Source organism: Homo sapiens, chromosome 10, assembly GCF_000001405.40.
Source record: "Homo sapiens chromosome 10, GRCh38.p14 Primary Assembly".
In the NCBI taxonomy this organism is placed as follows: Eukaryota; Metazoa; Chordata; class Mammalia; order Primates; family Hominidae; genus Homo; species Homo sapiens.
In genome coordinates this window covers 28,727,555-28,754,876 of record NC_000010.11, presented here as the reverse complement: position 1 = coordinate 28,754,876, position 27,322 = coordinate 28,727,555, and the positions used below count along the sequence as shown (strand labels likewise).

The 27,322-nt window shown below is 43.1% G+C and overlaps 1 long non-coding RNA gene across 1 annotated transcript in view, besides 1 other annotated feature; it reads right to left on the bottom strand.

Moving 5' to 3' along the window:
• LINC01517 (long intergenic non-protein coding RNA 1517) overlaps positions 1-11,227 on the bottom strand; it is a 64,570-nt gene extending 53,343 nt beyond the window's left edge. Inside the window, exons 1-2 of the long non-coding RNA NR_120652.1 lie at positions 11,116-11,227; positions 10,770-10,854 (exon numbers count right to left, since the gene is read on the bottom strand). This is a non-coding gene — a long non-coding RNA (long intergenic non-protein coding RNA 1517). The remainder of the gene's footprint in view (positions 1-10,769; positions 10,855-11,115) is intronic.
• Positions 26,163-26,457: a silencer, noted in NCBI's record as "tiled region #10738; HepG2 Repressive DNase matched - State 7:EnhWF, and K562 Repressive non-DNase unmatched - State 23:Low". NCBI's record gives its function as "represses a minimal TATA promoter and a strong SV40 promoter by Sharpr-MPRA in HepG2 and K562 cells {active_cell/tissue: HepG2 | K562}" and the evidence as "EXISTENCE:reporter gene assay evidence [ECO:0000049][PMID:27701403]".

Here is a 27,322-nt window from a genome sequence, read left to right as displayed (position 1 = left end):
TTCCCTTTCCATTTCTACTTTATTAACGTTTATTGGAAAGTCCCCTTGGGGTTACATTCAAGGCTGTCCATCTTCTCCCTCCTTCCCTGCCCTTCACCAGCTATATCCCCTCCCCCAGACCCAAGCTTCCCTGTTGCTGTCACTCTACGTGTAAGGTGCTCATTCTGCCGCCAGGACTTCCATTCATTAACTGTACCTAGTTAGGTTGCCTCCCATCACACCATTACTCCACCTCCCTTCAACAGCAAGATGTTGTTGAACATGGTATACAGCTGGCACTGTCAAATCCCCTTTACAAGCCAGATGCAGTGCTGTGCTCCTGTAGTCTCAGCTACTCAGGAGGCTGAGGCAGGAGGATTGCTTGAGCCCCAGAGTTCAAGGCCAGCCTGAGCAACATAACAAGACCTCATCTCTTAAAAAAAATTCCCCTTTACAGAAAAAGAGAGAAAAACTGTACAACTGTTATTTTGCTGTAATAAGTCTGCTATTTTAAAAGGATGTCCCAGCCTAGGAAACATGGAAAAACCCCATCTCTACAAAAAAATTAAAAATCAGCTGGGCATGGTGGCATGTGCCTATAGTCCCACTACTCAAGAGGCTAAGTAAGGCCTGAGGGTTGCATGAGCCCAGAAGGTATGCAGGTTCACAGGAGCTGCAGTGAACCATGATCACACCACTGTGCTCCAGCCTGGATGACAGAGTGAGACCCTGTCTCAAAAAAAAAAAAAAAAACAAAACACAGGATGTCATTTGGAACTTATTTTCAAAAAATACATGTTTGTAATGGTTTTTATCATCATAGTAGAATATTAGAATATTACCTACACATCATTTGGCAATTGAGGAAGTTGCTTTTTCCTTTTCTGTGGATATTTTGTCTCCACCCACAACTGAACTAGGACTTTATTTCTCTTGCTCTTTTCTGCTCACAGCCTCAGATCATCAACCGAGTCTGCGCATCTAGAGTGGTGCATCACACACGAAGGTACTTGCTCAGTGTGTTGGGAAGTGTGCAGGGAACCTAGCCACAGCTAAGGCCAGACAGGCATAGGAAAAACTGGCCTGGTCACTCTTCCAGCCACTGTTCTAGGATTCCATGTTCATCTCTCAACACTTATGGGGATAAATAGTTGCTAATAAGATGAAATCATAACTCTGACTTTTAAGCCATAGGAAACATTTTCCAGACATGCATATGCACACATATATATTTATGTATGTATGCATGTGTATATATATATATATATATATATATATATATATATATATATATTTTCCCACCACTTTCCTGGAGGCAAAGGCGGTGCCTGTGGATTAAACTCAGCTTTGTAGCCATTTAACAATTGCCTTAAGTGGGAGTTTTATAAAAGCATCTAATTGAGGCCAGGTGCAGTGGCTCCTGCCTGTAATCCCAGTGCTTTGAGGGGCCAAGGCAGGAGGATTGCTTGAAGCCAGGAGTTTAAGACCACCCTGAACAACATAGCAAGACCCATCTCTTAAAAAAAAAAAAAAAAAAAAAAAAGCTAAAAATTTTAAAAATCAAAATTTAAAAAATCTAATGATATTTACTAATTCTTCCCACTCCCTACTTGCCTGTCTCCTGTCATGTAAAGGCTGTCTCCTCTCTTTCAATTGTTTAGCCTCCAAAGCTGGAATCCTCCCCAATTTCTCTTTCTCTCACATATCATGCCCATCCCATTAGCAAGTCCTGTGAGTTGTAAATTCAAAGAGACCTAAATATGACACTCCTCACCACCCTGGTCCAAACCACCATCATCCTTCCCCTGAACTGTATTTGAATCACTTTCTAAATATTCTCACTGCCTCTACCTTCACCTCCCTTTTAGCCCATTCTCAACATAGCAGCTTTACAATCTTATTAAAATAAAAGGCAGGCCAGGTGCAGTGAATCATGCCAGTAATCCCAGCACTTTGGAAGACCAGGGCAGGAGAATTGCTTCAGTCCAAGAGTTCGAGACCAGCCTGGGCAACAAAGCAAGAACTCATCTCTACAAAAATAAAATAAAAATAAAAAATTAGCCAAGCATGGTGGCAGCACCTGTAGTCTCAGCTACTTGGGAGGCTGAAACTGGCGGATTGCTTGAGCCCAGGAGTTTGAGGCTGCAGTAAGCTATGATCACACCACTGCACTCCAGCCTGGGCAACAGAGCAAGACCCTGTCTTTAAAAAACAAAACACATTCACTGGGCAAGATGGCCGAATGGGAACAGCTCTGGTCTGCATCTCCCAGTTAGACCAACATAGAAGGTGGATGATTTCTGCATTTCCAACTGAGCCTCCTCTGGTGATACCCAGGCAAACAGCGTCTGCAGTGGACCTCCAGCAAACTCCAGCAGACCTGCAGAAGAGGGGCCTGGTTTTCCTTCCTAGTTAGAAGGAAAACTAAAAAACAGAAAGCAATAACATCAACATCAACAAAAGACACCCATGCAAAAATGTCATCCAAAGGTCATCAGCATCAAAGATCAAAGGTAGATAAATCCACGAAGATGAGGAAAAACCAGCACAAAAATGCTGAAAATCCCAAAAACCAGAATGCCTCTTCTCCTCCAGAAGATCACAACACCTCGCCAGCAAGGGAACAAAACTGGGGGAGAATGAGTTTGACGAATTGACAGAAGTAGGCTTCAGAAGGTGGGTAATAACAAACTACTCCGAGCTAAAGGAGCATGTTCTAATGCAATGCAAGGAGGCTAAGAACCTTGATAAAAGCTTACAGGAACTGCTAACTAGAATAACCAGTTTAGAGAAAAACATAAATTACCTAATTGAGAACATAAATGACCTGATGGAGCTGAGGAAACACAGCTCGAGAACTTCATGAAGTATACACAAGTATCAATAGCCAAATCGATCAAGTGGAAGAAAGGATATCAGAGATTGAAAATCAACTTAATGAAATAAAGCGTGAAGGCAAGATTAGAGAAAAAGAATAAAAAGGAATGAACAAAGCCTCCAAGAAATATGGGACTATGTGAAAAGACCAAATCTACAATTGATTGGTGTACCTGAAAGTGATGGGGAGAATGGAAACAAGTTGGAAAACACACTTCAGGATATTATCCAGTAGAAATTCCCCAAACTAGCAAGACAGGCCAACATTCAAATTCAGGAAATACAGAGAACACCTTTAAGATACTCCTTGAGAGGAGCAACTCCAAGACACATAATCTTCAGATTCACCAAGGTTGAAACAAAGGAAAAAATGTTAAGGGCAGCCAGAGAGAAAGGTCAGGTTACCCACAAAGGGAAGCCCATCAGACTAACAGTGGATCTCTCTGCAGAAAGCCTACAAGCCAGAAGAGAGTGGGGGCCAATATTCAACATTCCTAGAGAAAAGAATTTTCAACCCAGAATTTCATATCCAGCCAAACTAAGCTTCATAAGCAAAGAAGAAATAAAATCCTTTACAGACAAGCAAATGCTGAGGGATTTTGTCACCACCAGGCCTGCCTTACAGGAGCTCCTGAAGGAAGCACTAAATATAGAAAGGAAAAACCGGTACCAGCCACTGCAAAAACATACCAAAATATAAAGACCAATGACACTATGAAGAAACTGCATCAAATAATGTGCAAAATAACCAGCTAGCATCATGATGACAGGATCGAATTCACATGTCACAGTATTAACCTTAAATGTAAATGGACAGCTGGGTGCAGTGGTTCATGCCTGTAATCCCAGCACTTTGGTAGGCCGAGGCAGGCAGATTGCCTGAGGTCAGGAGTTCAACACCAGCATGACCAACATGGTGAAACCTCGTCTCTACTAAAAATACAAAAATTAGCCAGGTGTGGTGGCGGGCACCTGTAATCCCAGCTACTTGGGAGGCTGAGGCAGGAGAATCACTTGAACCCAGGAGGTGGAGGTTGCAGTGAGCCAAGACCGGGCCATTGCACTCCAGCCTGGGCAACAAGAGTGAAACTCCATCTCAAAAAAAAAAAGTAAACGGGCTAAATGCCCCAATTAAAAGACAGAGACTGGCAAATCAGAAAAAGAGTCAAGACCTATCTGTGTGCTGTATTCAGGAGACCCATTTCATGTGCAAAGACACATATAGGCTCAAAATAAAGGGATGGAGGAAGATTTACCAAGCAAATGGCAAGCAAAAAAAAGCAGGGGTTGCAATCCTAGTCTCTGATAAAACAGACTTTAAACCAACAAAGATCAAAAGAGACAAACAAGGGCATTACATAATGGTAAGGGGATCAATGCAACAAGAAGAGCTAACTATCCTAAATATATATGTGCCCAATACAGGAGCACGCAGATTCATAAAGCAAGTCCCTAGAGACCTACAAAGAGACTTAGACTCCCACACAATAATAGTAGGGGACTTTAACACCCCACTGTCAATATTACAGATCAACAAGACAGAAAATTAACAAGGATATCAGCTGAACTCAGCTCTGGATCAAGTGGACCTAACATACATCTACAGAACTCTCCACCCCAAATCAACAGAATATATATTCTTCTCAGCAACACAACACACTTTTTCTAAAATTGACTACATAATTGGAAATAAAACACTCCTCAGCAAATGTAAAAGAACAGAAATCATAACAAACAGTCTCTTAGACCACAGTGCAATCAAATTAGAACTCAGGACTAAGAAACTCACTCAAAACCACACAACTACATGGAAACTGAACAACCTGCTCCTGAATTGGGTAAATAACAAAATTAAGGCAGAAATAAATAAGTTATTTGAAACCAATGAGAACAAAGACACAATGTGCCAGAATCTCTGGGACACAGCTAAAGCAGTGTTTAGAGGGAAATTGATAGCACTAAAATGCCCACATGAGAAAGTGGGAAAGATCTAAAATTGACATCCTAACATCACAATTAAAAGAACTAGAGAAGTAAGAGCAAACAAACTCAAAAGCTAGCAGAAGACAAGAAATAACTAAGATCAGAGCAGAACTGAAGGAGATAGAGACATGAAAAACACTTCAAAAAATCAATGAATCCAGGAGCTGCTTTTTCAAAAAGATTAACAAAATAGATAGACTGCTAGCCAGACTAATAAAGAAGAAAAGAGAGAAGAATCAAATAGACAAAATAAAAAATGATAAAGGGGATATCATCACTGATCCCACCAAAATATAAGCTACCATCAGAGAATACTATAAACACCTCTATGCAAATAAGCTAGAAAATCTGGAAGAAATGGGTAAATTCCTGGACACATACACCCTACCAAGACTAAACCAGGAAGAAGTTGAATCCTCGAATGGATCAAAACAAGTTCTGAAATTGAGGCAGTAATTAATAGGCTATCAACCAAAAAAACAAAACAAAACAAAAAGCCCAGGACCAGACGGATTTATATCCAACTTCTACCAGAGGTACAAAGAGGAGGTGGTACCATTCCTTCTGAAACTATTCCAAACAATAGAAAAAGAGGGCCTCCTCCCTAACTCATTTTATGAGGCCAGCATCATCCTCATACCAAAACCTGGCAGAGACACAACAAAAAAAGAAAATTTCAGGCCAATATCCCTAATGAACATTGATGTGAAAATCCTCAATAAAATACTGGCAAACCAAATCAAGCAGCACATTAAAAAGCTTATCCACCATGATCAAGTCAGGTTCAACCATGGGATGCAAGGCAGGTTCAATATACACAAATCAATAAACATAATCCATCACATAAACAGAACCAATGGCAAAAACCACATGATTATCTCAATAGATGCAGAAAAGGCCTTCGATAAAATTCAACACCCCTTCATGCTAAAAAATCTCAATAAACTAGGCATTGATGGAACGTATCTCAAAATAATAGCTATTTATGACAAACCCACAGCCAATATCATATTGAATGGGCAAAAGCTGGAAGCATTCCCTTTGAAAATCAGCACAAGACAAGGATGCCCTCTCTCACCACTCCTATTCAACATAGTATTGGAAGTTCTGGCCAAGGCAATCAGGCAAGAGAAAGAATTAAAGGGTATTCAAATAGGAAGAGAGGAAGTCAAATTGTCTCTGTTTTCAGATGACATGATTGTGTATTTAGAAAACCCCATCGTCTCAGCCCAAAAACTCCTTAAGCTGATAAGCAACTTCAGCAAAGTCTCAGAATACAAAATAAATGTGCAAAAATCACAAGCACTTCTATAGACCAATAATAGACAGAGAGCCAAATCATGAGTGAACTCCCATTCACAGTTGCTACAAAGAGAATAAAATACCTAGGAATATAACTTACAAAGGATGTGAAGAACCTCTTTAATAAGAACTATAAACCACTGCTCAAGGAAATAAGAGAGGACACAAACAAATGGAAAAACATTCCATGCTCATAGATAGGAAGAATCAATATTGTGAAAATGGCCATACTGCCCAAAGTAATTTACAGATTCAATGCTTCCCATCAAGCTACCATTAACTTTCTTCACAGAATTAGAAAAAACTACTTTAAATTTCATATGGAACCAAAAAAAGAGCCCGTATAGCCAAGGCAATCCTAAGCAAAAAGAACCAAGCTAGAGGCATCACACTATCTGACTTCAAGCTATACTACAAGCCTACAGTAAACAAAACAGCATGGTACTGGTACAAAAACAGAGATATAGAACAATGGAACAGAACAGAGGCCTCAGAAATAAGGTGTGTGCATCTGCAACCATCTGATCTTTGACAAACCTGACAAAAACAAGCAATGGGCAAAGGATTCCCTTTTTAATAAATGGTGTTGGGAAAACTGGCTAGCCATATGCAGAAAACTGAAACTGTACCCCTTCCTTACACCTTATACAAAAATTAACTCAAGATGGATTAAAGACTTAAATGTAAGACCTGAAACCATAAAAACCCTAGAAGAAAACCTAGGCAATACCATTCAGGACATAGACGTGGGCAAAGATTTCATGACTAAAACACCAAAAACAATTGCAACAGAAGCCAAAATTGACAAATGGGATCTAATTAAACTAAAGAGCTTCTGCACAGCAAAATAAACTATCATCAGAGTGAATAGCATGGGAGAAAATTTTTGCAATCTATCCATCTGACAAAGGGCTAATATCCAGAATCTACAAGGAACTTAAACAAATTTACAACAGAAAAACAAACAACCCCATCAAAAAGTGGGCAAAGGATATGAACAGACACTTCACAAAAGAAGACATTTATGCAGCCAACAAACATATGAAAAAAAGCTCATCATCACTGGTCATTAGAGAAATGCAAATCAAAACCACAATGAGACACCATCTCATGCCGGTTAGAATGGCGATCATTAAAAAGTCAGGAAACAACAGATCCTGGAGAGGATGTGGAGAAATAGGAACGCTTTTACACTGTTGGTGGGAGTATAAATTAGTTCAACCATTGTGGAAGACAGTGTGGTGATTCCTCAAAGATCTAGAACCAGAAATACCATTTGACCTAGCAATCCCTTTACTGGGTATATACCTAAAGGATTATAAATCATTCTACTATAAAGACACATATGCCAGCACCAGGCTTGATGGTTCATGCCTGTAATCTCAGCACTTCGGGAGGCTGAGGCGGGTGGATCACGAGGTCAAGAGATCGAGACCATCCTGGCCAACATGGTGAAACCCCGTCTCTACTAAAAATACAAAAATTAGCTGGGCATGGTGGCACATGCCTGTAATCCCAGCTACTCAGGAGGCTGAGGCAGGAGAATCGCTTGAACCAGGGAGTTGGAGGTTGCACAGAGCCGAGATCGTGCCACTGCACTCCAGCCTGGGGGACAGAGGGAGACTCTGTCTCAAAAAAAAAAAAAAAAAGACACATATACAAGTATGTTTATTGCAGCACTATTCATTCACAATAGCAAAGACTTGGAACCAACCCAAATGCCCATCAATGATAGACTGAATAAAGAAAATGTGGCACATATACACCATGGAATACTATGCAGCCATAAAAAATATAATTTAATGTCCTTTGCAGAAACATGGATGAAGTTGGAAACCATCATTCTCAGCAAACTAACACAGGAACAGAAAACCAAACACCGCATGTTCTCACTCATAAGTGTGAGTTGACAATGAGAACACATGAACACAGGGAGGGTAACATCACACACTGGGGCCTGTCGAGGTGATGGGGGGTAAGGGGAGGGATAGCATTCGTAGAAATACCTAATGTACATGATGGGTTGATGGGTGCAGCAAACCACCGTGGCACATGTATACATATGTAACAAACCTGTGTGTTCTGCACATGTATCCCAGAACTTAAAGTATAATAATAAAAATATATATTTTATATATATATATAATATATATGTATAGTCAGCTAATGTCACTCCTCTGCTCAAAGCCTGCAAAACAATGGCCCTCAACTCATATAAAGTAAGAGCCAAAGTCCATAAGACATTCTATAAGCCTGTAAAGTTAGAAGGTGGTCCCAAGACAACTCTCACTTCTGACACCAATTGCAAGTTCTGGGGTCCCCAAGACCACCCTCAATTTTTGATAACTTGTTGAAAATATTCACAGAGCTCACTGACAGCTATTATACCCACGGTTATGGTTTCTTACAGGGAAAGAATACAGATTAAATTCACCAAGAGAAGAGACGCATGAGGCCAAGTGCAAGAGAGTTCCACACGTGGAGCTCCCAGGGGTCCTTTCCCAGTGGAGCAACAAATAGCACTGTCTTCTCCCAGCCACGATGCATGATGTTGCACACAGAGTATGGCCAACCAGGAAAGGTCATCTGAGCCTTGGTATCTAGAGCTTTTCTTCAGGCTCACTACATAGATATTGTCGACTGTCTTCATGGCTGATGTTTTGTTTTCCTCCAGAAATCAAAACTTTCTCCAGAAATCAAACTGATATGACATGACCTAAGGCCCCCATCATATTGTTTCACAATCCAGTGTACCCCAAGGCCCCAAGGTAAAAAAAAACACTTTTACCAGGCAGGACATTGCAAGGCCACAGAGATCACCTCCCAGGAGCAGAGAGCCAAGGCCAGACCTCTCTTTGGGTAAGATTAACCCTTTACTACACAAGGCCCTGTGAGGTCAGGCTCGCTGTGGCCTCATTGGCCAACATACCCCCATTTTCTCTTTTCAAAGTTATCACTTTGAAACCAATCCCAGAGGGTTGACAAGAATTGCATGCCATGGTTCTGGACAAAAATATAGTTACAATCAAGGATTCATCAGGCTGCACTCAGGCCCACTTCCTTGTTGCTAAAAGTCAGCTGGCACCAGATCCTGCCCATTTGCATCCTCATTGTTCCTATAGACAGGATATCTAACATTAGAATCATAATGCTTTTGGTTAAGGATTGCTTAAGATGTTTTTCAGACCCCGAATTCTAGCAGCCAGTTTGAAGACCCCCACAGAGGAACAGGGTCAGCCTGAGAACACAGCTTCTTCCTCTCCCTGTCTCGTGACTTCACCCTTCACTCTTCTACCAGTCAACAATCTCAACACTTCAGCCCACTCCAAAACCTTTAAAAACCCTAACTTCCAAACTCCTTGGGGAAACGGACTTGAGATTTCCTCCCGTCTCCTCGTTCAGTGACCCTAGGATTGAACCCCTTTCTCTGCTGCAACCTGGAGACATGCTGTGTGCATGGGGCAATGAACTTATCAGTGTTACAACTTCTCTCCAGCCACACCAGCCTCCTTGCTCTTCCAACACATTCAGGACACCCCAATTTAGGGCTTTCATACTTGCCATTCCCTCTGAGTGCCACCCCTATTCCACCTGTGAATACATGGGCTTCTCCAGATCTTCCAGGTCTCTGCTCAGGATTCCTCTGCTAGTGAGGTCCTTCCCCATCATCCTACTGAAAATAACGACCCCACTAGCACACACCAGCCTTCCCGAGCTGCTCTCAACTTCATGTTCTCCATGCCACTCAGCATTGCCAGTTAAGTGTTTGTTTGCCACCCATCTCATCCATACAGGGCAGGAAAAATAATTTTCTCCTCCACCCTTCCTGAGTTCTTAGCTGAGCTTCTCTGTAACAAAAGACAGATTAACAAGAGAAAAACAAACAGTAGTTTAATAGCATATATTCCTCTTGTATCCATGGGAGATAAATCAGAGAGATGAGTAATCTCTAGAATAGATCTCAAAGGTGTAATTTAAACTACAAAGAAAGAAAGTGTAGGGAAAGACCCAGTTAAGATGAGATGGCCAGAAAAATCATCATAAAACGAAGGTATATTCTCTTCAGTCTGAAGACTGAAGTCCGTGCTTTCTCTGACAAGAGACTTCTCTGATTTAGTCATCCTTCTCTTCCTAGTGCAGAAGAAGACACACTTACAAATGGAGATTTCCTTTGTAGATGTAAATTTCTCTTCCAGAAGACTAACTTTTCAGGGCTTCTCCTGTGTCTGCAGTTTCTCAAAATAATCAAATCAACATAATCCTTTAAGCCAAAGGGCATATTTTGGGATGGCATATGCTAATCTCCTACAGTCACAGTTTGGGATGGCATATCCTGAGCCCCCTCATGCAAGACACTGTAAACTCTGGCTGGCTAGGATCCTCCCTCAGCTGATTTATTCACCACTCTGAGCATCTAGAACAGTGCTCAGCGCAGAGTACATGCTCAATAAATATTCAGTGAATGAACGATTCTACATGCCTCTGAAGGACAAATGAGGAACTAGCTGCCGTATGGGGTGAGGAAACAGCTCCTCCAGGAGTTGCCCTTGTCTCTGTTGGACATTAATGAGATAAAATCCATTTTAAGTGCTAAAGAAAGAAGTACTGTAAGTTGATTTTATACTTACTTCCTGGTGGAGATTGCCTGTCTTTGGAGCCTGGAAGTCTCTGGTTCCCGGTGGATTTTGTTCTTTTCTTTTCTCCTTCATTTACCTGCTGGTGATTTTCCAGGGAATTATAAATGATGCCAGTGTTTGAGAGCCGGGAGAACTGGGCTGGAGGATCTGTCAGGTCCTGACCAGTTCTAAAAGTCCAGATCCAAGCGTACAAACAATTCCTCTTGTAGTTTTCCCACCTCTCACTGTCACTCTGCTTTCTTCCTCCCTTCCCGGTCCCTGCTGCCCTCTGACATCTCCCCTGAAGCAGTCCCTGGAGCCCTGTCTAAGGCATGGGAGAAAGGGGCCGGTCTCACACCTGCTTCTTTGTGTCAGATTTCCCTTCGAGGACTCTGGACTCCGAGGACCTCTAAGAGGGAGGCACAGCTGATAACCACTATGCACTGTGGAAGCCACCTTTGTGGTCCCACAGGAAAATTATGAGGTCACAGAGCTCTGAGGCCCCTTGCCATCCACTGTCCTCACTGCCTGCTAGGTCTCTCCCAGATCCTCAGGCAGCTGCTGACTGCCACCACAACAGACCCCTCACCTCCACTCTGATGGCAAAACTGCCCCCTGCCAATCCCTCTCCACCCCCCTTAAAACCTCACCTATCGCAGCAGCTGACATCAGCCAGTGTGAGGCAAAGATGAGCTGAGCAACAAAGTCATGGCTGGGCACCATGGCTCACACCTGTAATCCCAGCACTTTGGGAGGCTGAGGTGGTAGGATCACTTGAGACCAGGAGTTTGAGACCAGCCTGGACTTGTGAGACCCCCATCTCTATTTTAATTATTTTAAAAAGAAAAAAAAAAGTCAGAAGGCCTGCATCACAGCCAAGTGCCAAACCTCCCCAGAAGGCTTATGCTCTTACCCTCCACAGGTTATTTGAGGTATAATTAACAAATAAGCACGCATGCAGTGGCTCACATCTGTAATCCCAATATTTCGGGGAACCAAGGTGGGAGGATCACTGGAGGTCAAGAGTTTGAGACCAGCCTGAGGAATATAGTGAGACCTCATCTCTACATAAAATACAAAAATTAGCTGGCTCTGGCAATGCACACCTTAGCCATTTAGGAGCCTGGGGAGAAGGATCACTTGAGCCCAGGGACTCAAGGCTGCAGTAAGCTATGATGGCACCACTGCACTTCAGCCTGGGCAACAGAATGGGATCCATGTCTCCAAAAAAACAACAAAAAAAGTATATACTTAAGATACACAACATAATGTTTTGATATATGTATGCATTGTGAAATGATTATCACAATTAAGCTAATTAGCATATCCGTCGCTTCACAGTTACCTTTGTGTAGTGTGGGGGGTGTGTGTGTGTGTGTGTGTGTGTGTGTGTGTGTGTGTGTGTGGTGAGACAACTTAAGATCTAACCTCTTAGCAAATTTCAAACCTAGAATACATTATTATTAATCCTATAGTCACCATGCTGTACCTTAGATCTCCAGAACTTATTCATCTTATAACAGAAAGTTTGTACCCCTTAACCAATAGCTCCTCATTTCCTCTCCCCTCCCGTTGGTCCAACCTCTGGTAACAACCCCCTACTTTCTGTTTCTACGAGTTTGACTTTTTTAGATTCCACATATAAGTGACATCAGCATTTGTCTCTCTGTGCCTGTCTTATTTTACTTCACAAAATGTCCTCCAGGTTCAATGTTGTCACAAATGACAAAATTTCTTTCTTTTAAAGATTAAATAATAGGCCAGGCATGGTGGTTCACGCCTGTAATTCCAGCACTTTGGGAGGCCAAAGCCAGCAGATCATTTGAAGTCAGGAGTTCGAGGCCAGCCTGGCCAACATGGTGAAACCCTGTCTCTACTAAAATTACAAAAATTAGCCAGGCGTGGTGTTGTGCGCCTGTAGTCTCAGCTACTTGGGAGGCGGAGGCAGGAGAATCACTTGAAGCCGGGAGGCAGAGGTTGCGGTGAGCTGAGATCATGCCACTGACTCCAGCTTGGGTGACAGAGTAAGACTCTGTCTCAAAAAATAATAATAGTAATAATAATAATTAATTAAGTAATACTTCATAATGTGTGTGTGTTTATGACATTTTCTTTATCCACTCATCCACTGATGGACACGTAGGTTGTTTTTATCATGGCTATTGTGAATAATGCTGCAATGAACTTGGAAGTGCAAATATCTCTTTGAGATAGTAATTTTCTTTCTTTTGGATATATACTGAGATTTGAGATTGCTGGATCATATGGGAGTTCTATTTTGAGTGTGTTGAGGAACCTCCCTGTACTAATTGACATTCCCATCAAGACTGTGCACGTTTCCCTTTTCCACACATTCTTGCCAATGCTGATCTTTTGTCTTTTTGATGATAGTCACCCTAACATGTGTGAGGTGATAGCTCACTCTGGTTTTGATTTGCATTTTCCTGATGGTTAGTGATATTAATTAAGTACATTTCATGTGCTCGTTGGCCATTTGTATGAATTCTTTGGAGAAATGTTTTTATCATTTTTTAACGGGGTTATTTGTTTTTTGGCTTCTGAATTATATGAGTTCCTTATATATTGTGGCTATTCACCTCCTATCAAATGGATAATTTGCAAATATTTTCTCCCATTCCATACGTTGCCTTTTCACGTCAATGATTATTTCCTTTGTTGTGTAGGAAGCTTCATACCCTTTAAAAGCCCAAAAGAATAACCTAGAACTCAAAAATTCTTCACCCTGGCCACACTTGGGCAGCTTTTTAAAAACTCTGATGCTTAGGCCTGTTCCAGACCAACAGAAGCACAAATCAGGGGCAGAGAGGAGGATGGGGCGGGTATGGGGGTCAGGCCTGGTGTTGTCTAAGCTCCCCAGAGGAGTCCAATTTACAGCCCAGGTGAGAACCCTGACCACTGCCACAAAGAAGCATCTATGACAGGCTCTCTGGGATTCCTGGGGATACAGCCACCTCCACCTATGAAGGATCAACGCTCTTGTTAATGACTCCATAAACCCCTTGCGCCCCCAAACTCTCCTCCACTCTACATCTTGGCACCTCTGCTCTGCCCAGTGGACTAAGGGGCAATATAAGGGTAAGGAGGCTCCAAGCAATATCATTTCAGATAATTTGAGAGGACTCTAAGCCAGAAGATGTTACTTGTTGTTTGTCCTTTACTAGCCACCCACAAACTCCTCCATACCCACCACCCTACACCTCACCTCTCTTGGCTTAGGAGAATCTGGGCCTGCAGTCTTGGTGGTAAAATGATGTTGAAAACCATCTGAGTGGTGACACTAATCAACCGCTCCGTGTGTCTGCTTGGGTATCAGCAGCATCTTCCCATGTGACACCAGGAAATGCCCATCACCTGAATGGCCCTGTGTTCATCAGTCCTGCTTCGGTGAACCAAAAATGAAAGCCCAGACAACTCTCAGAACTCTTAGAGACACCAAATTATTCAAAGCACCTTACAGGAGAAAGTGGCACCCAGAGCAGTGGCTCACACCTGTAATCCCAGCACTTTGGGAGGCCAAGGTGGGAGGGTCACCTGAGGTCAGGAATTCGAGACCAGCCTGTCCAACATGGTGAAACCTCATCTCTACTAAAAATACAAAAATTAGCCAGGCGTGGTGGCAGGCGCCTGTAGTCCCAGCTACTCAGGAGGCTGAGGCAGGAGAATGGCGTGAACCTGGGAGGTGGAGCTTGCAGTGAGCCGAACTCATGCCACTGCACTCCAGCCTGGACGACAGAGCGAGACTCTGTCAAAAAAAAAAAAAAGGAAAAAGAAAGAAGAAAGAAAGAAAAGAAAGAAAGAAGAGAGAAAGGAAGAAAAAGAAAGAAAGAAAGAAAAAAGAAAGAAAGAAGAAAGAGAGAGAGGAAGGAAGGAAGGAAGGAAGGAAGGAAGGAAGGAAGGAAGGAAGGAAGGAAGGAAGAAAGGAAGGAAGGTTGGTTTTGCAGCCCAACAGCTCTGGCCCCATCAACTGGGACTTTAACCAACAGCTCCTCATTTTCTCTGCAGATTGGGGCCACAGGTCTGACCCCTTGAGATTTTCCTGATCTCTTGATGAGACCCCTGCGTTACATGTGTGTAGAGAAGAAAATGAAAAAGCCAACCAAAATCTGCTCACTCTTTTCCTCTAGACTAGAGCAACCAGATGATGTATAATAGATACCATCTTTCTTGCCTAAAATATAACTCTAAACAGGTGTCTGTGTGTGTGTGTTTGTGTGAGACACAGAGAGAGAGAGAGAGTGTGTGTGTGTGTAGCCATCAGGCATAAACTTATTCAAGCTTGAGTATCTACATCTGTCACTTACCCACATCTGTACATATCCTCCTAGCAGTCAATTCCTGTGACTGATCCTTCTTGGCCATTGTGCAGTGATAAAAGAAAAACTGCAGTCGAATTAAATTTAAAGCAGTTTAATTGAGCAATGAATGATATGTGAATCAGGCAGCCCCCAGAATCACAGCAGATTCACAGAGACTCAAGCACAGCCACGTGGTGAAAGAAGATTTATAGACAAAAAAGAGAGAAATGACGTACAGAAATTGGAAGTGAGGTACAGAGTGGTTGGATTGGTTACAGGCTGGCATTTGACTTATTTGAACACAGTTTGAACACTCAGCAGTGTATGAATGGTTGAAGTATGGCCGCTGGGATTGGCCAAGACTTAGCTATTGTTACAGGTGCATACTGTGAAGTTAGGGTTTCAATTTTGTCTGCCTATTAAGCTAGGTTACAGTTCATCCACAAGGACTCAAATATAGAAGTATGGAGTCCTTCTCAGGCCATATTTAGTTTGCTTTAAAAGCAGGCTTTGACACAGTGACCATTCCCTTTTTGAACCATGCTCTCCCTTGGCCTCCATGATGTTGCTCTTCCCTGGCTCTCCTCTGAGCTCTCGGGCTGTTCCAACTCAGTCCTCTGCCTTCTCTGTCCATGTTGAGGCTCTTCCATGTTCTGCCTTTAACTCTTTTCTATCCACATCTCCCGGGGATTTCACCTATATATCCATAGATCTCTTATCACCTATGCTGTGACATTAAACCATCTCTCTCCTGCCCTTTCCTGAGTACAACATGCCCCCCAAACTCAACGTGCCACAAACTCATGATCTTCCTAGCCATCTAGATCTGCTGCCCCTCTTCTTGTGTCCTCAAGCTCAGTCAAGAACACAAGTGCCATCCATTCACTCTGGAGGAACCTGGGAATCATTCCAGCCTCCTTCATCTTCCCAAAATGCCCCATCCAATCAGGGACCTGATTCTGCCTCTTCTGCATCTCTCGTGTCCCTTTCCCCACTCTACCTCTGCAGTGAAACAGTCTGACTTTACACCTTTGTCCTCTCCCTCTTGAATCATTGCAATTGTCTCTCAACAAGTCTCCTCTAGTCTCAGCAACCACCATCCTTCTCCACATGTCACCAAAGCAACAATTCTAAGGAGCAAACCTTGACCTGCTCTTCCACGGCCTGGGATCCAAGTTTATGTCTGCATCGGGAAGCAATGAGTGGGTAGATATCTGTCATAAGATAGTAGATCTTACTGAATTTGAGTGGGAGGGAAAGTGGTGAATCAGTCCAACCATGAAAATGAAAATTATTCTAGATATTTCAAACAGAGGGCATTTAATACAGGGAAGTGGCTGCAAAAGTGTTGGAAGACCTGGGGGCTCAGAAGACAGTGAGGAAGTCCAAAAAGTTGGCCTGAAGGGGGCAGTGTTCCTGGAGTCCAGGATCTGGCAGAAGCTGGTGGAAGGTGGAACCACCGCAGGGACATCTTCTGGGATCAGGAACCTAGAAGAGACATGATTACTATTGGAGATGCCAGAAAGAGAGGACAAAATGTGCCTTGATCTCTTCCTACCACTTACCCTCCAATCTCATGCCAGTGCCTCCCATTGGCCAAACCCAGCCAGAAGGCAATTATGGAAATTCTGGAAAATGATTTTCCTACAATACAGACCAGAGCAAGGGAAGGGTAGAGAATGAATCTGATAGCAAACAGGCAAATGACTGGCATAAAATTGTAGAACATTTATACATCCACAGGGTTTTTTCAAAGATAGAAAGCTCAGTAGTCAGACCATCTGATTCCACATGTGATCGCTGGAAACCTTCAACTTCTTCGCCAGGCATGGCTTGCTCAAACTTAGCTTTTTAGAAACTCTTCAAATTAGTCAGCTCATGTATTTGTCCCCTAAATACAGAATGAATATTTCTTGGCTCAAATTGTTTCCTTCTGTCTAGAATAATGATCTTGCTCTTTCTACTTATTTAAATCAAACACATCTTTGGACTCTCAGTTTTTTCTTTTGCTTTTGTTTTTTGTTAGGGATGGCATCTTGCTCTGTCACCCATGCTGGAGTTCAGTGGCACAATCATAGCTCACTGCATCCTTGAATTCCTGGATTTAATTGATCCTCCTGCCTCAGCCTTCCTATTAGCTGGGACTACAGATGTGAGCCACCATGCTCGGCTAGAATGCTAGTTTAATTCCAAACTCTTTCACTAGCATTTCCTGACAACTACTATCGGGATAGGGTTGAAAAGTGTTATCAATTCTAGCGAACCATGGTATGGTTGAAAAGTTACAGGATACACAGCTAAAATCTATTCACTATAAGGTAAGGGGTGTCATGGATGAGTGGTGACTATCTAGACCAGTGGTGCCAGTGATGAAAGCATTTACCAAGACAGTTGTAGGTAAAGAAAGGCAGATTTATTAGAGGAAGTAGAAAAATACGTTGCAGGGGAGCAACAGGCAGGCCAGCAAAAAGGAGCTGACTGTCAGGAGACAAAGGCTTGCTGGGGATTTTAAACAATAGTGTTTGTGCTTGTGCTGAAGAGGGCTTTATGCAGTACTGATATTGCCAAGGTTGCAGCGAGCTAACTTGCATTTTTCTATCAGCTGAGGGTCTGGTGATAGCTGAGTGCAGGAAGATTGTAAGTTACTTGTGCAGGAGGGTTATGTGTCTTGGATCATGAAGAAGGGCAGATTTGTAGCTTATCTGCTTCTTTTTGCATTCCTTTGGTCCCACCAGCCCAACTCCTTTTCTCTAATTAGAACTCCACAAGGGGAACTTCTGGTGCTTCCTCCATGAAAAGGATGACCATCAAGACATTAATATAACATCTGGCCTCTCACCGTCTCTTATTCACTCTGTCTAAGAGGAGGTAGAAACACTTTTCTGAGAAGAATATACTGGGCATGAAACCATCATCACAGGGTTAACAAGAATTCCATGGCAGGTTCTGGACAGAAATAAGGTTACAATTAAGCATTCATCAGGCTGCACTTTGCCCACTTCCATGTAACTGAAAGTCACATAGCACCAGATACAGACCTTTTGCATCCCCACTGTTCCTGTAGATAGGATCTCTGATGATAGAATCATAAAGCTTTTGTTTAAGAATTACTTAAGATGCTTTTCAGACCCTGCATTCTAGTGAAACGGCTGACACAAACCAGTTTGAAGACCCCACAGAGGAACCGAGTCCGCATGAAAATAGCTTCTTCATCACCCCATCCTATGACTTCACCCTGCACTCTTCAACCCATGAAAAATCCCTACAGCTCAATCCACTCTAAACCCATTAAAATCCCTGGCCCCCCAGCCACGCCAGCATAGTGAGACCCCTATCTCTACAAAAAATAAAAAATTAGCCAGACATGGTGGTACACACCTGTAGTCCCAGCTACTCGGGAGACTGAGGTGGGAGGAAGGCAAGACCTACGGAGAGAGAGAGAGAGAGTCCTAACTTCCATTTTTATATATATAATATATATATTATACATATATGCAAATATAGGAATATAGAAATATATATAAATGCAAGTCCTATACTTGCATTTATGTATATTCCTAGCCCCAAACTCCTTGGGGAGGTGGATTTGAGGTTTCCTCCTGTCTCCTTGTTCAGCGGCCTTACGATTAAACCTCTTTCTCTGCTGCAACCCTCAGTGTTGGTATACTGACTTGCTGCACATCGGGCAATGTACTTCTTATGGTCATAGGCATTCTTGGATCAGCTACACCCTTTTCCCTCTTGGAAGTGAACTTAACTGCAAGCACCAAGAGTCCTCTGTTTCTCCATGCTGTAAGTTTTACCTGGTCCAGTGCCTACATGAGTGTGGGGTAAGTATGTTGAATTTTGGAATTACTTCACAGGTCCATTTGGTTCTTGCAGTGAGCTATGGCTTCCAATTTAACCTTGAACAAAAATAAAGGAGAACTGTGGCCCATCTGCTACTCTGGACCTGTCAGGTTTTTCAGAACTTGAGCAGGAAAAACAGGTGCCATTTATCAGCACTCCTCCTCCCACAAGAAACTCTAACATGTGATTTTCATCTCAGGTTCTTATGCATAGATTCCTTGATAGTCATGTTTTGGGTTTTGTTTGTTTGTCTGTTTGTTTTGTTTTGTTTTGTTTTAGAGACAGGGTCTCACTCTGTCACACAGGTTGGAGTGCAGTGGCACAATCATGGCTTCCTACAGCCTCAAACTCCTGGGCTCAAGCGATCCTCCTGCCTCAGGATCCTGAGTAGTTGGGACAACAGGTGCATGCCAGCATGCCTGGCTAATATTTTCTTTGTAAAAATTGTTTATAGAGACAGGGTCTCATCATGTTGCCCAGGCTGGTCTCGAACTCCTGGCTTCAAGCAATCCTCCCAGTTCAGCCTCCCAAAGCACTGGGATTAGAGGCATGAGTCACACTTGGCCAATATCCACTTTTTGTTTCACCCCTCTATCTCTGATCTGGTTCTTCCTGGACTTTTGCTATGACATGGCATTTCTCTATTCTGAAATGTCAGCAAAGTGGACCCTGATCTCCACCCCTGCTAAGTTTGCTGGATGGCTTCAGATTCTGCCTCCCTGCTCTTTGCCAGAGCAACCAATACTATTGGGACGACTCATCTCCAGCCCACAGCGATCTCTAATTCTTTTGAGCACTTGGTGAGGCATGATAGCATAGTTGCTAAGAACATGGGCTCTGTAGCCAGACTGCCTGCATTTGAACAGTTTCCCCATTTAACAGCTGTCTAGCCTTGGGCAAGATACTTAAACTCCCTATAATATGGCATTACATAATAATTGATGCTCTTAAACATGACATGAATCATCAAGCAAAGTTTAAAATCTGTCCAGCATGCTCTGTTTAAGAAAGTGAAAAATATGTAACACATTCTACGAATATTTTTGTCTACAAAAGTTTACAAAATGTTGGTGCTTAAAAGGCTAAGCTTTGATTATCTCAAAACATAATTTAGAAAGGATGCATCACTTCCTGACACAATTGCATAACTGAAGCATGAGTATTAAAACTTTTGGGAAGGTTGGCTGGGTGCGGTGGCTCACGCCTGTAATCCCAGCACTTTGGGAGGCCAAGGCAGGCAGATCTCCTGAGGTCAGGAGTTCAATACCAGCCTGGTCAACATGGTGAAACCCCGTCTCTATTAAAAATACAAAAATTAGCCAGGGGTGGTGATGCACACCTGTAGTCCCAGCTACTCAGGAGGCTAAGGCAGGAGAATCGCTTGAAACCGAGAGGCAGAGGTTGCACTGAGCCAAGATCAAACCACTCCAGCCTGGGCAACAAGAGTGAAACTCCGTCTCAAAACCAAAAAAAAAAAAAAAAATTTGGGACGGCATCCTGGTAGAGTGGAAGAGGTCCATATTTGAAAGCAGGCCTGAGTTTGAATCCCATTTCTGGCACTTGCTGTGTAAACACATGTAAGTTGTTTTATCTTCTTAAGCACCTGTATCTGTCTGTGAAAATGGGGATTGAAATTACTACCTTGCAAAATCATCATGAAGCTTAAATGAAATAATGTAGGTGCAAGAGGATACATGGGCAGCAGCTCTAGGGGTGAGGTGGGGTTCTTCAACAGCCACTACCCCAACCTACTGGGATTTGGACTATGAGTGCTGTGAGTGGAGTTGGACAGAATTCTTCTGCCCACTCACCTATTTGCCCCAGGAATTTACATAGGAACAGGAAGACTCTTGCAGAGAAAGAGATCTTTTCCCCTTGCTATTCAAAATCATTTAAATATATCTGATGGGCTTAACAGGACAATGAGGTCCCTGAGAGAGAATTCTCCCTGAGGGCAGAAGGAGAAGCACACAGGTAACTCCCTAGGTAAGGGCTGAGGAACAAGATGAGCATTGACCCTGGTTCATGACTTAAATCTGTCCTGATTTAGCCTGGTGACAGGCTCATGCCTTGAGAAGAGGCTTTGTGAATGATTCTAAAGAGCTAATGAAGCCATATGATATGCACAAAGGACATCCAAAGCAGTGCTACGAGGGAAATGTGTAGCCTTAAATGCATACAAGAAGAATTGAAATAAATAAAGCATCTAAATCAGGAAAAAGCAGGCAGAAGAAACAGTAAATAAAAGCAGAAATAAATTTGAAAGAAAGAATTATAAAACTAATAAGTATATAACAGAGCTAATCATAGGAAAAAGCAGGCAGAATAAACAGCAAATAAAAGCAGAAATAAATTTGAAAGAAAGAATTATAAAAATAGTAAGTATATCAAAGAGCTAATCATAGGAAAAAATACCCTTCTTTTCCATACCTGTTGGGTGTGAATGGATTACATACTCAAAAATTAACTTATGAGATGATAGATAGATAGATAGATAGATAGATAGATAGATAGATAATAGATATAAATGATAGATTAGATAGATAGATAGATAGATAGATAGATAGATAGATAGATAGATAGATAGATAGATGATAGATAGACAGACAGATAGATAGAATAGTTGTAGAGCTGGGGACCCACCCTGTCTTAGCTCCCTAGAAAGAAGTCTGTAGTAAGAAAGGTGGGTCCTGTCTTATTCCTGGGCACCATACTGCTGTCCCCTGGGCTCGCCAGCAGAAACTCATTTTGTCAGGAGAATGGCTCTCTTGGGTCCCCCACTTAATGGGACAGCACACCCAACTTCCCTCCACTTTTTTTTCCTCTCATGCCCACATCCAATCTATCAGCAAATCTTTTTTTCTCTACTTTAGTAATAGATCAGGCCAGGCTCAGTGGCTCATGCCTGTAATCCCAGCACTTTGGGAGGCCGAGGTGGGCGGATCACCTGAGGTCAAGAGTTCGAGACTAGCCTGGCCAACATGGCAAAACCCTGTCTCTAGTAAAAATGCAAAAAATTAGCCGGGTGTGATGATGGGTGCCTGTAATCCCAGCTACTTGGGGAGCTGAGGCAGGAGAATTGCTTGAACTCAGGAGGCGGAGGTTGCAGTGAGCCAAGATCAAGCCACTGCACTCCAGCCTGGGCGACAGAGCGAGACTCTGTCCCAAAAAAAAAAAAAAAAAAAAAGTATAGATCGGAATCCAACACTTCTCACACCTCCATCCCAGCCACGCTGATCTAAGCCTTCTCATCTCTCACCCGGATTATTAACAGCCTCCTAACCAATCTTTCCATCACCTCTTGCAGTTTTTCTCTCAACACAGCAGCCAGAGTGGTCTTTTTATAACAGGTCAGTCATGGCATTCCTCTATCCAAAATCCCCCAGAGGCTTCCCACCTCCTTCAGAGTAAATGACCAAGCCCTTTCGAGGCCTACAAGGCCTTTGATAATCTACCTCGCAACACACAAGCATCCCACACCAACTGCGTCCCCTACGCCTCTCCTAAGCACTTACTGAGCTCTGAAAACCGGCCCCCCTCACATGTTCCCACGTAAATGCCTGTGCCTTTGGGGTTTCTTCCGCCTGGAACTGTTTCACCCCAGACATCACACAACTCCCTCACATCCTTCAGCTCTTGGTGAGACACAGGTTATCAGCGAGGCCTTTCCTGACCACCTACTTAAAATAGCAACCTCACTCTCCTGGCTACACACACGCCCAGCCGGTCAACACTTTCTCTGCCTATTTCCCTCTGCAGGACTTATAGACTTACCAGTTACTGCATTTGCTCACTCATTTTTTAGCTCCTTCCATTAGAATATAATTTCCTAGAGGCAGAGATTAGATGTGTCTTGGTCACTGTGTCCCCAGTGCCTAGAACCATTTCTGGCACATTTGAGGTACTTAGTAAATTAAGAGAGTAAATGAATGAATGAATGTATCTGTGGTGCTGAAAGCAAGAATACCACTGAGGCTGAGCAAGGTTGCTCACGCCTGTAATTCCAGCACTTAAGGAGACCCAGGCAGGAGGATCATTTGAGCTCAGAAGTTCGAGATCAGCCTGGGCAACATGGCGAGATCCCTGTCTCAACAGAAAAATACAAAAATTAGTGGGCGTGGTGGTGTGTGCCTGTAACCCCAGCTACTTGGGAGGCAGAGGTGGGAGGATCGCTTCAACCCAGGTGGCAGAGGTTTCAGTGAGCTGAGATCCATGCCACTGCACTCCTACCTGGGTGACAGAGCAAGATTCTGTCACAAAATAAATAAATACAACAGAAAGGGAAAAACAAAACAGATCTTAAGCAAAGTCCTTACCCTTCAAAATGAGTCTTGTAACAATAGAAACAAGAAGACTGGGCGCAGTGGCTCACGCCTGTTATCCCAGCACTTTGGGAGGCCAAGGCTGGTAGATCCCTTGAGGCCAGGAGTTTGAGACCAGCCTGGCCAACATAGAGAAACCCCATCTCTACAAAAAATACAGAAATTGACCAGGCATGGTGGTGCAGGCCTATAATCCCAGCTACTCGGGAGGCTGACACACAAGAATTGCTTTAATCTGGGAGGCAGAGGTTGCAGTGAGCCGAGATTATGCCACTGCACTACAGCCTGGGTGACAGAGTGAAACTCTGTCTAGAAAGAAAAGGAAAAGAAAAGAAAAGACAGAGAGAGAAAGAGAGAGAGAGAGAAACAGAGAGAGAAAGAGAGGAAGAAAGAAGAAAGAAAAGAAAGAAAAAAAGAAAGAAAAGAAAGAAGAAAGAAAGGAGGGAGGGAAGGAAGGAAGAAAGAAAGAAAGAAAGAAAGAAAGAAAGAAAGAAAGAAAGAAAGAAAGAAAAAAGAAAGAAAGAAAGAAAAGAAAGAAAAGAAAAGAAAAGAAAGAAAAGAAAAGAAAAGAAAGAAAAGAAAAGAAAGCAAGCAAGCAAACAGGCCGGGCACGGTGGCTCATGCCTGTAATCCCAGCACTTTGGGAGGCCAAGATGAGGGATCACCTGAGGTCAGGAGTTCGAGACCAGCCTGTCCAACATGGCGAAAACCCATCTCTACTAAAAATACAAAAATTTGCTGGGTGGTGGCATGCGCCTGTAATCCCAACTACTCCGGAGGCTGAGGCAGGAGAATCACTTGAACTCAGGAGGCAGAGGTTACAATGAACTGAGATTGCGCTACTGCACTCCAGCCTGGGCAACAGAGCGAGATTCTGTCAAAAAAAAAAAAAGGAAGGAAGGAATGAGGAAAGGAAAGGGGAAAGGAAAAGGAAAGGAAAAAGGCACTGGACGGATTTTAATCGACTGTCAAGTCTACAAAGTCAAAATCAGTGTAAACATTTGGTTTCGTTTTCTGTCTCATTCCCCTGCATAACTGAACTCTGACAACAGGATAGGAAGCCAGAATCCCTCACTCCTGGCTCCTCTCATCTCTTCCAGCTCCAGCCCTGGGCATCACCTGAAGCCAAAACAGCCCCACTGGTAACCCCTAGCCAAGGTAGCGCTCACACCCCCAATTTAAACCCATTATTCTCTTTAGAAGAACCTGGAAGAAAATGTAGCATTCAAGAGGCCTCAAGCAAGCAGCTCTTTAGAAACAATTATCTCCTGCAAACTGTGGATGCCACTTTTTTTTTTCCTTTCTACTTTTTGGCACAAAACCCTTTAAAAATAGTGACTTACTGTTGCCTAACAGGATTAAATTCTTAACTGAGGCATTTTCGTCTAATCCATGCACTACCTTCTAATCCCCTGTGAGTCAGAATGTAAGGAAAAGTTTCTATTTTGACTCAAAAAACACATTCTTAGAAGTCCCCACACCCTTGCACTCCTCAGAGCCTCCTTGCTGAACAGGGCAACCCCAAAATGAATCTTCAACTGCGGCCTCAGGGAGAAAATTCTCAAAAGGACCTTAGCTCTAAATCCAGATCAACTCTTATTTACCACCCGATCTTGCCTTGAGCCACGACTTTTTTGCTCTTTTTTTTTTTTTTTTTTTTTGTCTCACTCTTGTTGCTTAGACTGGAGTGAAATGGCGCGGTCTTGGCTCACTGCAACCTCTGCCTCCCGGGTTCAAGCGATTCTCGTGCCTCAGCCTCCCAAGTAGCTGGGATTACAGGCTGTAATTGTGCCACCACATCCAGCTAATTTTTGTATTTTTAGTAGAGACGGGGTTTCACCATGTTGGCCAGGCTGGTCTTGAACTCCTGACCTCAGGTGATCTGCCTGCCTCAGCCTCCCAAAGTGCTGGGATTACAGGCGTGAGCCCCCATGCCTGGCCTCCTCTTTCCTTTTCCCTTCTTTTCTTTGATGTACAAGCAACAGAGATGTTCCTTCTTAGGGCAAGTGAACATTCCAGAGATCTTTCAAGGAAAAGGTCCCCTTGGAGCCGTGTTCCTGTGGACAAACTCAATGTTTCATTCTATGCTACAGATTTTATTTTGAAAATCTTAACCAGAGACTCATCAAGCATCACCAATCCATTCTAGATATTCCTTATTGTTGGAAATGTAGGAAAAATAATATTGAAGTAGGAATTAAAGCATCTAGATTTTTGTTTTGTTTTGTTTTTTTGTTTTTTGTTTTGTCTCATTCTGTCACCCAGGTTGGAGTGCAGAGGCGTGATCTCGGCTCACTGCAACCTCCACCTCCGGGGTTCAAGCAATTCTCCTGCCTCAGACTCCTGAGTAACTGGGACTACAGGTGCCTGCCACCACGCCCGGCTAATTTTTGTATTTTTAGTAGAGACAGGGTTTCATCATATTGGCCAGGCTGATCTCGAACTCCTGACCTTGTGATCCACCCACCTCAGCCTCCCAAAGTGCTGGGATTACAGGCGTGGGCCATCGTGCCCAGCCTAGATTTTATTTTATTTGTATTTATTTATTTTTTTAGAGACAGGGTCTCACTCTGTCACCTAAGCTGGAATGCAGTGGTGCAATCATAGCTCACTGCAGCTTTGAACCCCTGAGTTCAAGCGATCCTCCCCCCTTGACCTCCCAAGTGGCTGGGACTACAGGTATACACCACCACACCTGGCAAAATATGTATTTTAAAAATCTTTAGTAGAGATGGTGGTCTCATTATGTGGGTGGGGCTGGTCTTGAACTTCTGAACTCAAGTGATCCTCCTGCCACAGCCTCTCAAAGTGCTGGGATTACAAGTGTGAGCCACCGTGACCAACCTAAACACCTAGATTTTAAACCCAGTTCTCCTACCTACTAGCTGAGTCACTTTACCTTGCTGAACCTCCATTGTCTCATGCATGAGAATAATACCCACCTGGGAACCTTCACAGATGAGGAGCCTAATAGATGAGTTCTTGTGTGTGAAGGTGACTCACAAGCTCCAATGCACTCTACAAATACAAGGTATTAACATTTCCATCCTGAAGTTTGCGCTTGTAGAAAATGTGTCCTGTCCCCTTTGCCCAATATAAACACAGAATGTTATTGTAGTGTTATCTTCTGCAGGGCCTCTCCTCCCTCATAAATCCTTATTATCACTGGTCCTCTGGACAATCCTGCTGGCCTACAAAAAATAATATTAATGTTATTTAATCCTGGATTATCAGGGGTTTTCTGTTTGGCAGATGTTGCTGCTCTGTTGGCCTAAGATTAGACTATTAGGTAAGGTAAATGTTTTGCAGAAGTATTTATTTCTCTAGCAGAGAAGGAATTTGCACAATTAATTCACTGGAAAGATCCACATAGATATATGATATGACAGGATTCTTTTCCATGAAATACTGCCATCACAAAGCAAAGGAGGAAAAGTGGCATGTATTCATTGAGAAGCATTTTGTAGTCCCATTTATGCCATAAGAGGGAAGGGAACCATGTTCCAAATGTTCAGAAGTCTTGTTGGAGACCAAGTCTCTGGCTTCTCGGTGCTGTACTGAACACTCTTCTATTCCACAAGGCACTTCATGCCCTTAGTGTGTCCAGCGTCAGCCTGAAAGCACACACACAGGTGTGCATTTGACAGCAGCTTTTCACTACAGCACTTACATTTCTTGAGAACGAGACCAGACACAATGACAAATTACCTCTGGGGAGGAATCAGGTATAAGCCAGGCCACCAGGCCACCAAGCTGTGTGTCCCAGGATATCAGGGCCCAGGTGGGCCTTTCCTCTTCCCTCTTTTGCTCCAAGTACTGGTCTGACCAGAGAACATTCTGCCTGATATACAGGTAAATTTATCAAAGTACGAGATGCAGAATGTTTCAGCCACATTCATCATGCTCCATTATTAGTCCGTTTTCACACTGCCATAAAGACATGCCCAAGACTGGGTCATTTATAAAGGAAAGAGATTTCATTGACTCACAATTCCCCATGGCTGGGGAAGCCTTAGGAAACTTACAATCGTGGTGGAAGGTGAAGGGGAAGCAAGGATCTTCTTCACATGGCGGCAGG